The sequence below is a fragment of the Homo sapiens genome, chromosome 12 (genome assembly GCF_000001405.40).
Source record: "Homo sapiens chromosome 12, GRCh38.p14 Primary Assembly".
In the NCBI taxonomy this organism is placed as follows: Eukaryota; Metazoa; Chordata; class Mammalia; order Primates; family Hominidae; genus Homo; species Homo sapiens.
The window spans coordinates 239,949-257,910 of NC_000012.12; the positions used below are offsets into that span (position 1 = coordinate 239,949).

Here is a 17,962-nt window from a genome sequence, read left to right on the forward strand (position 1 = left end):
GGTATTTAATGTGCCTCAGAATTGTCCCAGAGACCCCCAGGCAATCCAAAGGAAGGTGGGCCTAATGAAGCCCTGAAGCAAAAGCTCTAGGCCACCAAAAATTGACAAAATTGTTTCAAGAGGGACTCCACTGAGATCTGGATAAAATCTTTACTGTCTGACAGGCTGGTTGTCAAGGGTGGTCTCAGTACACATAGATATTTAAAAAAATAAAAAGGAAGAAAAGAAAATATATATAAAGCTAAAGAAGTATAATAAAACAGATTTTTTTTGGAGACCAAGTCTTTCTCTATTACCCAGGCTGGAGTGCAGTGGCACAATCTCGGCTCACTGCAACCTCCACCTCCCAGGCTCAAGCAATCCTCCTGTCTCAACCTCCCAAGTAGCTAGGGCCATGGGTGTGCACCACCACCCCTGGCAAATTTTTTGTATTTTCAGTAGAGATGGGGTTTCATCGTCTTGCCCAGGTTGGTCTCAAACTCCTGAGCTGAGGCGATCCACTGGCTTCGGCCTCCCAAAGTGCTAGGATTACAGGCGTGAGCCACCGCCCCCAGACTAATTATAATAAAACAGATCTTTAAACCTTGATTCATTCGATCAATATTTTTGAGTGCTTACGATAGAGCCAGCACTGTGCTAGGCACAGAAGCTGTGGAGATAAAGACACCTTTTCTGCCCTCACGATCTTGATGACTAGTGGGAAAACCAAATCAACAAACAGATGAAAAGTGAGGGAAGTGCAGGAGCAGGGCCGGGGCCGGTGCAGGTGCTACCAGACACATTTAACAAGAACCTAATGCCATCCTGGGGTGTCGGAGGAGGTACCCCCAAGGTTTACTTTCCCTTTGAAAAATAACGGTGGAATGGAGGTGGTGGCAGTGATGCACAAAGACGTGCCTGGAAGGGGAGCATCAAGTACAAGGTGAGAGAGGTAAAGGTGAGGTGGTGACACAGACAGGAGTCAGGTCATGAAGGGATGAAGAATATCATCCTAACCGTGCAAAAATGCTTTTCCGGGCAAGTAAAGGATTCAAACTCCAGTTCAGAATTAACTTATCTGAGCAAGAAAGAATTGGGCTGGGCACAGTGGCTCACGCCTGTAATCCCAGCGCTTTGGGAGGCCGAGGCAGGTGGATCACAAGGTCAGGAGTTCAAGACCAGCCTGGCCAAAATGGTGAAACCCTGTCTCTACTAAAAATACAAAAATTAGCCGGGCGTGTTGGCAGGCGCCTGTAATCCCATCTACTTGGGAGGCTGAAGCAGAGAATTGCTTGAACCTGTGGGGTGGAGGTTGCAGTGAGCCAAGATCGCGCCACTGCACTCCAGCCTGGGCGACCGAGCGAGACTCCATCTCAAAAAAATAAAAATAAAAAAGATAAAAAAGAAAGAATTAATCATGGCTAGCCCACTTCAAAGGGCTAGGGCCTTGTTGACTGGTGCTGGAAGATACTTGGACAAGGAGAGAGGGATGTGCCAAGAATCCAAGCAGAACAGCGTCCACCGTGCTCTCCAGCCATGCCGTCCGACAGGGCAGCCACGAGCCACCTGTGGCTGTTTAAGTTAACATTCAATGCAAATGTTAAAGTTCTGTTCCTCAGACCACTTGCCACATTTCAGGTGCTCAATAACCACACATAGGAGTCACTCCAAACCTACACTGGTTCAGTGGGACTGCCCGTGAAAGGTAAATAAATAAATAACCACATGTAGCTGGTATTAAGAACTACCATATTGGATAGTGCAAAGAACATTTTCATCATTACAGACAGTTCTTTTGGACAGCATTGCCCTAGATATTTTTGTTGTTGTTACTTTTTATACATTAGACTCAGTATTTCTATTGCCATGGGTGGCTCAGGTAGTCGTATAAGCACAGGAGAAATTGCAGATATGCAGCACATAGCAACGCTTCAGCCAACAGTGGATCACCTGTATGGCAGTGTTCACATTTGATTATAAAATACGGCATCTTTACTGTACCTTTCCTATGTTGCACTATGTTTAGATACACAAATACTTACCATCGTGCTGCAAGTGCCTACAGTGTTCGGCACAGTATTATAGCAGACGGCCCAGGTGTGCGATGGGCTGGGCCATGTGGGTGTGCACTCTGTGCTGTGTTCATCCAAGGACGAAATTGCCAACAACGCGTTTCTCAGAGTGTACCCTTGTCATTAAGCGACACGTGACTGTAACTGCTATTATAAACCACAGTGGACCCTTGAGCAACATGGATCTGAACTGTGCGGGTCCACTTATACGTGGATTTTCTCCCGCCTCTGCCACCCCTGACAAGCAAGTCCAGATGAATTGCAAGTTTGAAAGACCTAAAACGTACCAGAGAGAAGATACGCGAAACAAATGAATGAACAAAACATATATCCATATATCAAACTAACCATATTTCAAATTGATTTAAGCAAATGGCTAAACAACATAAAAGTGGTCAGTTCTCATTGAATATGTTAATTTTTTCTTTAAAAAGTTCCTGACATTTGCCTGTGACGCTGGTGAATTCTTGATCTTATTCTTGACATAAGCTCTCCATGGTCGACTTGGGTGATTTCTGGTGTGTCCGTGTTAAGCGGGGATATAGTGACAAGCCCAATTCCGGTTAATGTGGCAGAACGAGAGGAGGAAGTGGACCCTTGGGTGAGGACCATACCTGTGTTCCACTCATGGTAGCAGCCGCCCCAGGGCAGGTCGATGGTGAAGCTGCTGAAGAGGTAGAACAGGGCCCAGGCCAACACAATGATGTAGTAGACGTTGAGGAGGATGACGATCATCTGGGAGGCATAGCCAATGCCTGCGGGGAAACTGCAGAATTGGGCTAGGAACGGTGGACAGCGGTGGCGTGCACCTGTCATTTCAGCTATGCGGGACGCTGAGGTGAGAGGATTGTCTGAGGCTGGGAGTTCAATTTACCATTGAGGGAAACTGCTATTTTTGTAACTCCCTGTGGATCTATAATTATTTCAAAATAAAAACGTAAAGAAAATCCTATATATGGAGAAATAATGAAATTAAATACTGTAAATTTTAAATACTTGTGTCAAGATAGAACTTTTTTTTTTTTTTGAGATGGAGTTTTGCTCTTGTCACCCAGGCTGGAGTGCAGTGGTGCAATCTCGGCTCGCTGCAACCTCTGCCTCCCAGGTTCAAGAGATTCTCCTGCCTCAGCCTCCTGAGTAGCTAGGATTACCGGTGCCCACCACCATGCCTGGCTAATTTTTTGTATTTTTTGTATTTTGTATTTTAGTTTCACCATGTTGGCCAGGCTGGTCTCGAACTCCTGACCTCAGGTGATCCACCTGCCTCGGCCTCCCAAAGTGCTGGGATTACAGGCATGGGCCACCACGCCCGGCCAAGATAGAACTATGAATGAAATAATTTTTTCTCATTTAAAGTTCTCTTTTAAAATGTTTATAATTGATTTAAATATGTCTTAAAATACAACAACATTGTTATGTGTTTAAAACATATGGCTAAAGTGGCTTTGCACTCTACTTACCTAACCTAAAGCCTCTGCCCCATCCTCACTGCTGTTTCTTGCCCATTCTCTGATAGATCAGCTGACTAGCTCAGTATGCAGCCCACAAACCAAGGGTTTAGCATAGAGACTCGGGATCTTATCTTAACCTCAGAACTGCTACTAATCACTCAAGTCATTCCAAACAAGGTTTATAACCACGAATGAAGACGCTTTGGAGTCAGGTACAGAGCTACTCACCCTCAAAGATGGGGCAGATCTTCCTCCAGGCTGTGACGCCTCCCTGGCTAGTGTACTGGCCTAGTGCTGTCTCCAGAAGGAAGACAGGAATGCCACAGGTAAAGAGGAAGACGAGGTAGGGGATGAAGAAGGCACCTGTGGTTAGAAAACAGGCTGTTCATTTCCTGGGACTATTCTCCTCATGGTCTGCATTCACCTCCTCCCATTACCAACCCATACTGCCAGTCAGAATCTCGGAGGCAGAGAACATGCAAAACTGCAGGAGACAGCTGTCTAGATGTTTGGAACATAGCAGAGATCAAGAGTCACCCCATTATCTAAGATCTACACAGCCTCTTGCCTTTTTTCACTGCAGTTTCAGTCTATACCTATTAAAGTTTGTTCCCCACTGAACAATTACTGCTTAACACATAACTTGTGGCAATAACAAGGAGCTTATTAAATAATGGATGTCTAGGAGCATTGGCACAGCCCACAGTCTATAATTCTTTTCAAAGAAAGCATTGCTCTTAACGTCAGGTAGTCTTTTAGTAAGCTGAAATCAGATGCCCTTTCAGTCATTGTTATGGTTTGAATGTATCCCCTAAAGTTCGTGGTTGGAAACTTAATTCCCTATGCAACAGTGTTGGGACGTGGAGCCTAATAAGATGTAAGTCATGAGGGCTCTGCCCTCATGAATGGATTAATGTTATTACTGTGAGACTGTGTTTGTTATAAAAGTGAGTTTGGGCCAGGCACAGTGGCTCACGCCTGTAATCCCAGCACTTTGGGAGGCTGAGGTGGGAGGATCGCTTGAGCCCAGGACTTCAAGACCAGCCTGGGCAACATGGGAAAACTCTGTCTCTAAAAGAAATACAAAAAATTATCTGGGCATGGCTGTGTGTGCCTGTAATCCTAGCTACTCGGGAGGCTGAGGTGGGAGGATTGATTAAACCTGGGAGTTCGAGGCTGCAGTGAGCTGTGATTGTGCCACTGCCCTCCCTCCAACCTGGGTGACAGAGCAAGACCCTGTCCAAAAAAAAAAAGTGTATTTGGCTCTCTGTCTTTTATATGAATATTCTCTTGCCTTTCTGCCTTCTGCCATGGGCTGACACAAAGAAGAAGGCCCTCACCAGAGGTGGACTGCTTGCCCTGGACTTCCCAACCTCCAAAACTATAATAAATAAATATCTGTTCCTTATAAATTACCCATCTCAGGTGTTCTGTTGTAGCAACACAAAATGAACTAAGCTAGTAATCTGTCTCCTTCTGTTTTTATAAGCATTGGCGGAGACAAGACTACTGATGCCAGATATACTGGTATTTTCCCTACCATGGACCTGTCATCTGCTGGCAAAGTGGACAGCACAGTTCATAGGACACAGAGTACCAGAGAAGACAGAACTGCACAGACAGGAGAATCTGCAGAGGGTCCCCCTCAAGCTTCCAACTGAGTACTAGTCAGTGCATATGTGTGAGAAAACTGAGGTGAGGGAAAGAACCATTCAAAATGATTAAAAGTAATGGTGCTCACACACTGCCAGAGTAAATAATCTCAAGATTCACCAGGCATTAGGCAGAGTACGCAGAAGGGCATTTCCTCAGTAACGGGGAATAATTATCCCTAGACCGAGCACACTTCTATTGCTACCTAACCAATCTTAAAAGCAAGATATAAAAAGAGCAAGTAACTTCACTGATCCCAGAACAGAGCTAAAGAATATTTACAGAAATACGAAATTGGCCGGGTGCAGTGGCTCACGTCTGTAATCCCAGCACTTCGGGAGGCTGAGGTGGACAGATCACCAAGTCAGGAGTTCAAGACCAGCCTGGCCAATATAGTGAAATCCTGTCTCTACTAAAAATACAAAAATTAGCCTGGCATGGTGGCACGCACCTGTAGCTCCAGCTACTTGGGAGGCTGAGGCAGGAGAATTGCTTGAACCTGGGAGGCAGAGGTTGCAGTGAGCCGAGATCGTGCCACTGCACTCCAGCCTGGGCAACAGAGTGGGACTCTGTCGCAAAAAAAAAAGAAAGAAAGAAAAGGCAGGGTGTGGTGGATTACGCCTGTAATCCCAGCACTCTGGGAGGCCAAGGCAGGCAGATCACGAGGTCAAGAGATCGAGACCATCCTGGCCAACATGGTGAAACCCCATCTCTAGTAAAAATACAAAAATTAGCTGGGCGCGGTGGCTCAAGCCTGTAATCCCAGCACTTTGGGAGGCTGAGGCAGGTGGATCATGAGGTCAGGAGATCGAGACCATCCTGGCTAACACAGTGAAACCCCATCTCTACTAAAAATACAAAAAAATTAGCCGGGTGTGGTGGTGGGTGCCTATAGTCCCAGCTACTTGGGAGGCTGAGGAAGGAGAATGGCGTGAACCCAGGAGGCGGAGGTTGCAGTGAGCCGAGATTGTGCCACTGCAATCCAGCCTGGGTGACAGAGCAAGACTCCATCTCAAAAAATAAAAGTAAAAATAAATAAATAAATAAATAAATAAAATACAAAAATTAGCTGGGCATGGTGGCATGTGCCTGTGGTCCCAGCTACTTGGGAGGCTGAACCAGGAGAATTGCTTGAACCCGGGAGATGGAGGTTGCAGTGAACCGAGATCGCTCCACTGCACTCCAGCCTGGCAACAGAGTGAGACTCTGTCTCAAAAATAAATAAATAAATAAATAAATTATCCAGCAACCCATAAAGCAAAAATATTACCAGGTCTGGTATTCAATCGAAAATTACCAGGAAAGCAAAGAATCAGGAAAATGTTACTCATAGCAAGGAGATTGAACCTGACCCATAATTTACAAAGATGTTAGAATTAGCAGATGAGAATATTTAAAAGTTATTATAACTGTATTGCAAGTGTTCCAAAAGTTAGGGATATAAAAGATATTGAAAAAGACCCAAATAAAACTTCTGAACATGAACACTACAGTGTGTGAGATTTAAAGAAATACATTGGATGGGATTAATGTTAGTAGGCAGAGCAGAAGAAAAGATCAGTGACCTTGAACCATAATAGAAACTATCTAAAATAAAACACAGAGAGAAAAAAGAACATTTTTGCTGGGCATGGTAGTTCATGCCTGTAATCCCCGCATTTTGGGAAGCCGAGGCAGGTGGATCACCTGAGGTCAGGAGTTCAAGACCAGCCCAGCCAACATGGTGAAACCCTGTCTCTACTAAAAGTACAAAAATTAGCTGGGTGTGGTGGTGCATGCCTGTAATTCCAGCTACTTGGGAGGCTGAGGCAGGAGAATCACTTGAACCTGGGAGGTGGAGGTTGCAGTGAGCTGAGATCATACCACTGCACTCCAGCCTGGGTGACAGAGTGAGACTCCATCTCAAAAAAAAAAAAAAAGAAAGAAAGAAAAGAAAGAAAGAAAAGAAAAAAGAAATTTTTTAAAAAGAACAGGTATGCCTAAGTGGTGAGACAGCTTCAAAAAGCCTAATGTAATGGGAGTCTGTGAAAGAAAGAAAAGGGTGAGAAAAAGCTTACAGAAATAATAGCTGAAAATTTTACAAATTTTATGAAAACTATAAACCTATAGATCCAAAAAGTTCAACAAACACCAAGATTAAAAAAAAAATGAAAAAAAACTAGTCCAAGGTGCATCATAATCACATTACTTAAACCGGAATATGGAGCTTTTAAGAGAAAACCTTAAAAGTCACCAGAGAAAAACGACACATATGTACAGACAAAGATAAGAATAACATCAAATTTCTCATTTAAAACAATGCAAAAGAGAAGACAGTGATAAGGAAGCACATTTGCTGAAGCAATAAAGGAGGAGGGAGAAAGCTGTCAACCCGGAATTCTATACCCAGCAATAATACTGTTCAAAAAGGAAAGTGAAATAACTGTTTCTTAAGACATGCAAAACCTGAAAGGATCTACCACAAGTAGAACTGAACTACCAGAAATGTGGAAGAAACTCCTTCAGGGAGAATGAAATGATATCACCAGATAGAAATATGAATCTATACAAAGTAATAAAAAGCTTTAGAAATAGTAATTACATAGATAAACATAGAGAATGTTTTTCTTATTATTCAAATATTTTTTAAAAGATAATTGACTGGTTAAACAAAAATAAAAACAATGTAATATTGATTTTATAACATATAAAAATGTATAAGAAGAGCACAAAGGTTAGGAGGAAAGAAATGAAATTGTAATATTTTAAGGTTCTTATATATAAAGTGGTACATTATCACTTGAAGATAAAGTGTGATAAGTTAAAGATGTATACTACAAAGTTTAAAACAATCAGTAAAATAACACAACAAAGTTACAGCTAATAAGCCAACAAAAAGAAGAAAGCTAACAATGGAATAAGAAAAAATATTCAATTATTCCAAAAAAAAAGCAGGAGGAGAGGGAAGGGGGAAACAAATAACTGATAGGACAAAGAGAAAACAAATAATAGGATGATAGAGTTAAACCTAATTACATGGATAATCGTATTAAATGCAAATGGTCTAAACGTCCCAAATAAAAGGCAGAGATTGTTAGACTGGCTTTTAAAACCTGACAAGACTCAACTATATGCTGCCTTAAGAAAATGCACTTTGAATAAAAAAGACATGAAGAGGTTAAAAGTAAAAGGATAGAAAGATATACCATGCTGGGAGGCTGAGGCAGGAGAAATGGAGTGAACCCCGGGGGGCGGAGCATGCAGTGAGCCGAGGTTGCACCACTGCACTCCAGCCTAGGCGACAGCAAGACTCCGTCTCGGAAAAAAAAAAAAAAAAAAAAAGATATACCATGCTAACACTACTCAAAATAAATCTGTAAAGTTTATCTTAATGTCACACAAAGTAAACTTCAGAGCAAAGAATATTACCAAGGGTAAAGAAGGTAATTTCATAATGATTAAAGGGTCAATTAATCAAGAGGGTCAATTAATCAATCAGTATTTCAAGTGCATATTCACCTAATGACAGAGCTTCAAAATGCACGAAGCAAAAACTGACAGAACTACAAAGAGAAACATATAAACTAATTCCTGATAAATGTTAAAAACGTTAATAGCCCTCTCTCAATAATTTATAGAATAAGTATACAGAAAATCAGTATGGATATAACAGATTTGAAAATTATATCCACCAGCTCAACTTAGTTGACATTTATTGAACATTCTACCCAACAGTCCAACAGCAGAATATGCATTAGTTTCAAATGAACATGGAATATTCCACCAAGATGGGCCCATATCCTGGACCAGAGATCAAATCTCAGTAAGTTTAAAAGCATCCAAGTAATACAAAATTGGTTCTCTGACTAAATTAGAAATCTATCAGAGAAAGACATTTGGAAAATTGCCACCTATTTGGAAATTAGGTAACACATTTCTAAATAGCCTATGGCTCTACTGAAGTAATCAAAAGAGAAATTAGAAAGTATCTTGAATGGAATGAAATGAAACCCAGTATCATAATTTGTGGCATACTGCTAAAGCAGTACCTAGGAGATTTACTAAATGATAAAAGAAGAAAAGTTTCAAATCAATTACCTCGGCTTCCACCTTAAGAAATCAGAAATTATTGCTGAAATGAGGGTGTAGTTAAGAAAAAAAGAAAGAAAGAAATGAGAAGGATAAGAGCAAATGAAAGCCAAAGTAAGTCAAAGGAAATAAAAATCAGAGTGGAAATCAATAAAATGGAAAACAGGAAAGCAACAGAGAAAATCCATGAACCAAAAGCTGGTTCTTTGAGATAATAAAATTGATAAAATTTTAGAAGACACAAATTATCAGCATGACAAATGAGATGTATCCTCAGTAAAGATTCTATAGATATTAAAACAATAATAAGAAAAGATATGAAGAACTTTATGCCAGTAAGTGCAACAATTTAGGTAAAATAAAAAACGTAACTACCAAAGCCCACTCAAAAAGAAACAGTCTGAATAGCCCTATAACTATTAAGGAAAATTCATTTTTGGTTTAAACCCATCCCACAAAAATTTCCAGGCTCAAATGACTTCAGTGGTGAATCCTCCAAATATTTAAGGAAGAAATAACAGCAATTCTACACAAACTCTTCCAAAAAATTGAAAAGATGGAATGCTTACCCAACCAATTTTATAAAGTGAGCATTACCCTGATAATAAAAGCAGACAAATACATTATAAGAAAAGAAAGTTAAAGATCAACATATTTCATGAACATAAATGCCAAAATTCTAAATGATTTTAGGAAATCAAATCTAACAATATGTTAATAGGACAATATATTATATAGTAATGTTTATCCCAGAGATACAAAGTGGGTTTAACATTTTAAAAAATCAACATAGTGTTGTAGTCTCCAGCTGTTATAATAAATGGATAAATAAATAATGTGACTCATCCTGTTAACAAATTACAAAAGAAAAACTATATGATCATTTCATAGGTACAGTAAAGTATTTGACTGAATCCAACAGTCATTCCTAATAAAAACTCCCAGCAATGATGAGGAGAAGAGAACTTCCTCAACTTGATAGAGGGCATCTACAAAAAAACCCTACAGCTAACATCATACTTAATTGTAAAAGACTGCTAAGATTGAGAATAAAACAAGTGTCTATTCTTACTACTTCTATTCAATACTGTACTGGGGATTCTAGCCATAGAATCTAGCCAATAAGGCAAGATAAGGAATTAAAGGTTATTCCGATTTAAAAGGAAAAAATAACACTGCTTTATTCTCAGAAGACATGATATTCTACAATGAAAATCCTTTGGAATGCACACAAAAAAAAACCTATTAGAACCAATCAGTGAGTTTAGCAAGTTTGCAGGATACAGGATGGGCATACACAAATCAATTGTGTATGTATTAGGAATAAACAACCATAAATTAAAATGTAGGAAATAATACCATTTACAATAGCATCAAAAATATTAAATACTTAGGAATAAATCTGACAAAAGTTGTGAAAGATATATGTACACTCACAACTACAAAACATTGCTGAGAGAAATTAATGAAGAGCTAAATAAATGGAGAGTCATACCATATTCAGGATCAGAAGACTTAATATCATTAAAATGTCAATTCTTTCCAAATTGATCTATAGATTTAATACAATCCTAATCAAAAGCACAACAGACTTTTTTGTAGAAATTCACAAATTCTTTCTAAAATTCATCTGGAAATGATAAGGACCCAAAATAGCCCCCCAAAAAAAAAAAAAAAAAAACCTAAAAACAGGGCCTGGCGCAGTGGCTCATTTCTTTTTGGGAGGCATTTTGGGAGCATTCTGGGAGGCCAAGGTGGGTGGATCACGAGGTCAGGAGATCGAGACCATCCTGGCCAACACGGTGAAACCCTGTCTCTACTAAAAATACAAAAAATTAGCCGGGCATGGTGGTGGGCACCTGTAGTCCCAGCTACTCGCGAGGCTGAGGCAGGAGAATTGCGTGAACCCGGGAGGCGGAGCTTGCAATGAGCTGAGATCGCGCCACTGCACTCCAGCCTGGGCAACAGAGCAAGACTCTGTCTCAAAAAAAAACAAAAAAAAAAAACCTTTGAAAAAGAAGAACTGAAGTACTTAATTCCACCTGGTATTTATATTATCCTCAAGCACAGTAATGAACACAGTGTGGTACTGGTGTCAAAATAAACAGATCAATGGAACAGAGTAGAATTCATCAACAGACCCACATATATACAAATAACTCATTTTTGATGAAGGTATAAAGGCAATTCATTGGAAATAGGATAGTCTTTTCAACAAATGGTGCTGGCATAAGTGAATACCCATACAACCCCCCAGAAATGAACTTCAACCCATATCTTCACTGTATACAAAAATTAAGCCAAAATGAAACATAGAGCTAAATGTCAAACCTAAAACTATACATCTTCTAGAAGAAAATATGAGGCCTTGGGTTAGGCAAAGATCTCTTTATATGATATCAAAAGTATGGTTTATAAAATAAATAATTTATAAACCAGACATCATAAAAATTTAAAACGCCTTCTCTTCTAAAGACACTGTTAGAAACAGGAAAAACAGTCCAGGTGCAGTGGCTCACGCCTGTAATCCCAGCACTTTGGGAGGCCAAGGCTGGAGGATCGCTTGAGCCCAGGAGTTTGAGATCAGCCTAGGCAACATAGTGAGACCTCGTCTCTACCAAAAAAAAAAAAAGTTTTTAATTTTCCGGGCATGGTGGCACATGCCTATAGTCGCAGCTACTTTTGGGAGGCTGTGGTGGGAAGATCATTTGAGCTCAGAAGGTCAAGGATGCAGTGAGCCGTGACTGCACCATTGCACTGCACCATTGCACTTCGGCCTGGGTGACAGAGTGAGATCCCATCTCAAAAAAAAGAAAAGGAAAATTACAAAACACAGAATGAAAAAAATAGTATTTGTAAAATGCATTTCTGATAAAGGACTTGTGTGTTAGAATATATGAAGATACCTCGATAACAAAGGATAAACTACTGATACATGAAAACTATAAATGAAACCCTAAATAATTATGCTGTATCATAATTATCAACATACCATATGATTCCATTTATATAATATTCTAAGAAACGCAAACTAAGGTATGGTGGTATCACAATTTTCATAATTATCAACACACTGTATGATTCCATCTATATAATATTCTAAGAAAAACAAACTAGTTTAGTTTGCATTTAGCATAATTATTGATTGCACTGGGATGTGATGGCAGGAGTGAAGTTGGGAGGAAGGAATTAGAAAGAGACAGGAGTAACTGTTTTGGAAGTGATGGACATGTTTACTATCTCAATTGTGGCAGTGGTTTCATGCGTATATACATATGTCAAAATTTATCAAATTGTACACTTTAACTATGTGTGGTTTATTGTAAGTTAATGAGGAACCCAGTTCTCCAGTTCTTCACCTCCCACTTCTCAAGGTTGTATTCTACACATCCATAATTCAGGCACTAAGGGGGACTTGATCATGAGGACAAAGAAGGAAAGGTAGCAAACAATTCAGCCAAAGAAGTCCATAAATCAACCCAAGGTTTGCTGAGCAGGAAGGAAAACAGGAAAGATAGAACCCAGCAGCTGACAGGAACAGTCACTGTGGAGAGCCCAGTCCAGAAAGAAACAGCTATGGGCCCAGCCCAAGCCCCTTCCCATATTCATGCTTCCTGCTCTTTCTCTATAAACCAAGCCAATGTTTAACTCTGGGCCCCGTGGTCAGCTGCTCCCACCTCCTTCCTCTGCCTCGTTGAGCTCCTTGGCAGCCTGCCAAGAGGGACAAAGTCCACACCTGCAAGGAGGGGCTACAGGCCCTAGAAGTGTGAGAGGGGTCGGGGTGGGAGGGAGCCAAGGGGGCCAGGTACGGACTGAGGAGTGCTGAAGGGCATTCTGCCTCTTCCCCTCCGCAGGTACCACCATCAAAAGATGAAGTTAGTCCTGGGGATGGGGGGTGGAGTTCACAGTAACCTGCACCCCCATATCATCCATACTAGTCTCCTCAAAAATTCTAAAATGTGCTGGCATTTTCTCCGTGAGATAGGAGAGACCATATCCCCGTCCCAGAAAGCAATCACTCTCTTGGCCCCCCTTCTCAAAAGGAGCACGCTCTGTGGTGTCACTTGTAACGTTCCAGCCAATTTCTTACGGCATAAACTGACGATCTTCCACTTGAGCAACAGAAGAGCGAGGAGCTTCCATGAGGAGTTATGTGCTGTCCTCGGCATGAGCCTGACCAACAGTGGGCCCTGAGTCATTAACTACACTTGGTAACACACTGTCACTCACTGCTAAATTAACCATTACTTTTATATGAACACACGAACAGTGCTTCTTATTTCTCTTTATTCTCTGCTATCTATAAACAGCACAGGGCTAATGGTTTTCCTTGCTGCCAAGGGAATCCTCTTTGTGTGGGCATCCCAGTGCACCTTCTTTACAGGCTGGAGCTGAGGGATCTTTCCCCTCCAGGCCCTTCTGAGAGGTCCTGCTGTGTGCCTCCTGTCGTGGCCTCACATGGGGACTCCAGTCCCAAGTTAATTCTGGGTGTTGAGCAACTTGGTCTGCCAGCAGCCAGGGTCCAGGCAGTTGGAGAGGTCTCAGCTGAAGGCCCGTGTTCTGAAGCACCCAGGACCTAGGTATGGGAAGACTGAGGCTCTGAAGAGGAGTTGGAGGGGACAGGGAGGAAGTCCTCGCAAAAGATGGTCTCCAGCTGGTGTCCTGAGACTAGTGGAAAACTTAAAAGGTTCTTGGCACGGGTAACTTCTGCCCCGAGTGAAATTTCAGCAACCTGGACTTAGAAATTAAGTGAAAATGTTGGCAGACGGTTTTTTCATCTGGGCTGAGATAGGCAGGAAGGTGATTTAAATTCCCCGCTGGCTATGGACAGTCCTATGACCAGAACCCTCTCCCGCTACCTTCTTCCCACATCACGCCTCCTGCGTTATCCAGCATCTCCTCGTCCCATGACTGGAACTTTAACTGGGCAGGCCCTAGTAGAAAATCGTATTTGCTTTCCCTCCTGGCAGCTGAGGGTGGAGGGCTGGAGGAATAGTTCAAATGTCAAGCTTCTTCAGCCGCCTCGCCAGCTCAGGGCCCCACCCCCGAGGAGTCTGGCCACTGGCACACTGTCACTGCTACGCAGGACTCACATGGCCCCCTTCCGCCCAGAAGGGAAATACACAAGGAAGGGGTGGATTTTACCTACTCCCACATTTTGCCCCAATAACCCACATTTACTATTTCCAATTCCTTTCTCCCATCTCCCCCATTATCTTAAATCCATTTCAATCAGTCATTGTCCCCAGCCCTCCACTGTAACCGCTCTTATCATCAATGACTTCCCAGCTGCTAAAACCAACAATCAATTTCCTTTCCTCATCTTCTTAACCTATCTGCAGCCTTTGCTGCAGTTAATTTCTCCCTCCTCCCTGATAGAATTTCTTCACTCGACTTTCCAAAACACTTCATTCTCTTGGTTTTCATCCTGCTTTACCAGTTTCTCATTTTCTGTCTCCTCTGCTGGTTTCCCATCTTCTCCCAGACCCACTAAAGGTCCTTACTTTCTTTTCTTATACCATCAAAATGCTAATGATCCCCAAATACACACCTCCAGCCAGATCTCTCTCACAAACCCCAAACTCACATTCTATTGCCCAGTTGCCATTTCCACATGGACATCTGATAGATACCTCAACTCAACTTTCCCAAAATTCACCTCCTTACTTTCCCTTCAAAACCTGCTCCTCTGGGGCTAGGCACAGTGGCTTATGCCTGTAATCCCAGCACTTTGGGAGGCCGAGGCAGGCAGATCACTTGAGACCAGGAGTTTGAGACCAGCCTGGCCAACATGGCGAAACCCCCTCTCTATTAAAAACAACAACAACAACAAAACAAAACACAAAACCTTGCTCCCTTCATGGCCTTCCACGTCTCAGTGAATGGCAGCTCCTTCCTTCCAGTCACTCAGGTGAAAACTCTCGGATTGCTTAGATGGGTGCTAGCAGTGGAGGGGATGAGAAGTGGTCGGGTCCTGCACATCTCATCGCGGGGGCTCTAGTCCCAGGCATTCGGGTGCTGAGCTACTCGCTCTGCCAGCAACCAGGGTCCAGGGAGCTGGAGAGGTCCTGAAGCTCCCAGGACCTGGGTGTTTGGGTAGAGTCAAGAGCTATGAGAGGTGGAGGAAATTAAGGATGACTCCAAGATTTTTGCCTTATAACCAGTCAGCTTCTGCCTTCACTCCCCTATACTCAGTTCTCAACATACCAGCTAGAGAGATTATTTTAAAATGTAAGATGACTGTCCGGGCGCAGTGGCTCATGCCTGTAATCCCAGCACTTTGGGAGGCCAAGGTGGGCAGATCACCTGAAGTCAGGAGTTCGAGACCAGCCTGGCCAACACGGCAAAACCTCGTCTCAACTAAAAATACAGAAATTGGCCGCGCGTGTTGGCGCGCGCCTGTAGTCCCAGCTACTGGGGAGGCTGAGGCGGGAGAATCACTTGAACCCAGTAGGTAGAGGTTGCAGTGAGCTGAGATTACGCCACTGCACTCCAGCCTGGGTGACAGAGCGAGACTCCATCTTGGAGGGGGCGGAAATAATGTGAGATTACTGCTGCCCAAAACCCTGCCCTGCATCTGAATGTCACTAGAGCAAAAGCTGAAGTCTGAGAGTGGCCAACCTGACATACCTGATCTGCCCCTCTCCCTGTCCCCAGCCCATTTACTTCCCTGACCTTACCTTCTATTCACTTGCCCAGCTCCAGGCTTGAGTCCTCCTCAAACAAGCCAGCCAGACTCTTGCTTCGTTTCAACCTTTGTTTCCTCTGCCTAGAGGAAAGCACTTTCACCCAACCCCATAATATCCACATGGCCAGTTCTCTCACTCCTGGCAAGGCTTTGCTCACATGCTCTCAATGACCACCCTTTTAAAAATTGCCACCACCCACACCCACACTCCTGATCCCCTTTACCCAGCTCTCCTTGTTCTTTTTCTATAGCACTCATTAATTCTGGAATGCTACCTAATTTACTCATTTATCCCATTTATTGTGTAGTGTCTGTCTCCCTCCTCTAGAATGTATGCCCTATGAGGACAGGGAATTGGTCCGTTTTGATTATAGATGTATCCCAACCACCTAGAACAGTTCCTGGCTTTTGCTACGTGCTCAGTAAGTATTTGCTGGTGAATGACACAGGCTCAGGGCTTGGCTGAGTATGCGCCGAGGCAATGGAAAGAGACTGGAAATTATAAAGCCAGTAGGATGAAGCAGGTGCCTGGGGGTGGATCAGCTGCAGGTCCTGGACAGCAGGGAGATTATTTACCCAGGAGATGGTGGAGGCGGGCATCCCTCTCACTCACCTCCCTAAAAGCGTCCCTGTTGCTTCCGATTTCAGATGGGCTTCTTTGAATCACTTTCTCAGCTTCCCTGCCTTTTGACTACAGTTTTCAGCTGTTTGCCTTGTGTTCTATCATAGCCTTGCCTCAGCTCTGGAACTCATTTCAAATTAGATCTACCACATGTTGACGCTGGAAGAAACCAAAGAAGATGTCACTTACATTTTTAGTTTGGAACTAAAATTGTGCTCTGAGGACTTCTTCATCCCTGAGCTTCTCACTAAACAAATACTACTACGAATCCAATTCCTTGATTGCCCTCCCCTCCCCGCCAAGCACAAGAGTGGCTACTTGGAGCTGTGAATTTAAAGAAAGGGCCCAGGAGCAGGCCAGTCGGGTACGTTACTAAAGGATGGCACAGCCTGGAGTATCCCAGCGTCCTTGCTCAGAACACTCTTCCCATGCCCAGGAGCCAAGGCCCCAGTCTGAGAATGGTGAGTTCAAATAAAAGCATTAAACCAGGAGGAAAGGGGTCCAACCAATCTACAGGGTCTCCATTCTCCCCAGCCTCCTTCCCACATCAGCAGCAAAGGGTCCTTTCAGGAAGAGGCAGCAGTCTCTTCTTTGGCAAAGAGACAGGAGAATGACAAGATGAAGTTTAAGGGCCCATTCTCTGTAGGAGTTTGCTTTGCGTGGGAGGTGAGAGGAGTTAACTGATGACAGAAAGTTTAAACTGCTGAGAACACCAAAAAAAAAAAACAGAAAAATAGGCAGGTCCAGGTTCCTCTACTGACCACACACATCCTTGATCAGCCCGCTTACCTTGGCAAAGGAGCCATTTCACTAACCCAGCCAGTGGTCCTGGGTGACTCGTGCCCTCCAGAGCAAACCTGGGCCCCTGCCTGCAGCTCCCCAGTCCCTCAGAACATTCCCCTCCAGCTGCTGTCATCCATCAGCGAATGGGGGCGAGGAGTGCTCAGGCCCTGTGCTTGATAAGGGAAGAAGTTACGGGTAGGTAGTGTAAGGGTTAAACAAAGAGAACTTGACTGGATGGCAGGACTCCCAAACATGTCAGGACTCTCCACCAGAATCAGAGTGCTGGAAGGCAGGCTCTACCCAGGGAGAAGGAGACCACAGCCGCCGCCCTGCTGCCTCCACCTCCCCACACAGGACCCACGTGAATGACCAAGGGCTGTGGGTACTCTGCGTTCCCACACAAGACACAGTCAACACGTTCCAGACCCACACAGACTCACCACGCAGCCCTGGGACCCAAACATTGCCAGACAAAGGACCGGGGAGAGTCCCTCATCCCCCACGTTCCAGTCACTGCTCCCCTCCACTTTCCCCTGTCAGCCCAGTGCTTTGCATTAGACCTGGAAGGCAATCTCTCCCACCTCTTCGTGCCATTCCTGCTAATTCCCAGGCCAACCTTTACCCAATTCCAGAGAGGCTTGGGGAA

General features: G+C 43.3%; 1 protein-coding gene and 1 long non-coding RNA gene across 4 annotated transcripts in view; both read right to left on the reverse strand.

The window, feature by feature from the left end:
* The window catches only part of SLC6A13 (solute carrier family 6 member 13), a 42,215-nt gene that overhangs the window by 19,327 nt on the left and 4,926 nt on the right, over nt 1-17,962 (reverse strand). The window contains exons 3-4 of one of the 3 annotated variants that reach the window (NM_016615.5): nt 3,731-3,865; nt 2,666-2,806 (exon numbers count right to left, since the gene is read on the reverse strand). The exons of 1 other annotated variant lie outside the window; for it this stretch is intronic. In NM_016615.5, the coding sequence (NP_057699.2) occupies nt 2,666-2,806; nt 3,731-3,865 (276 nt within the window). Of the gene's footprint in view, nt 1-2,665; nt 2,807-3,730; nt 3,866-17,962 lie in introns of those variants that run through there. One more of the 3 variants, XM_047429420.1, reaches the window with a different exon arrangement.
* On the reverse strand, nt 13,494-17,351 carry LOC102723544 (uncharacterized). The gene is made up of 3 exons (NR_120482.1): nt 17,323-17,351; nt 16,525-16,692; nt 13,494-13,799 (listed from the first exon to the last, which is right to left on the reverse strand). It is a non-coding gene; the product is annotated as an uncharacterized LOC102723544 (long non-coding RNA).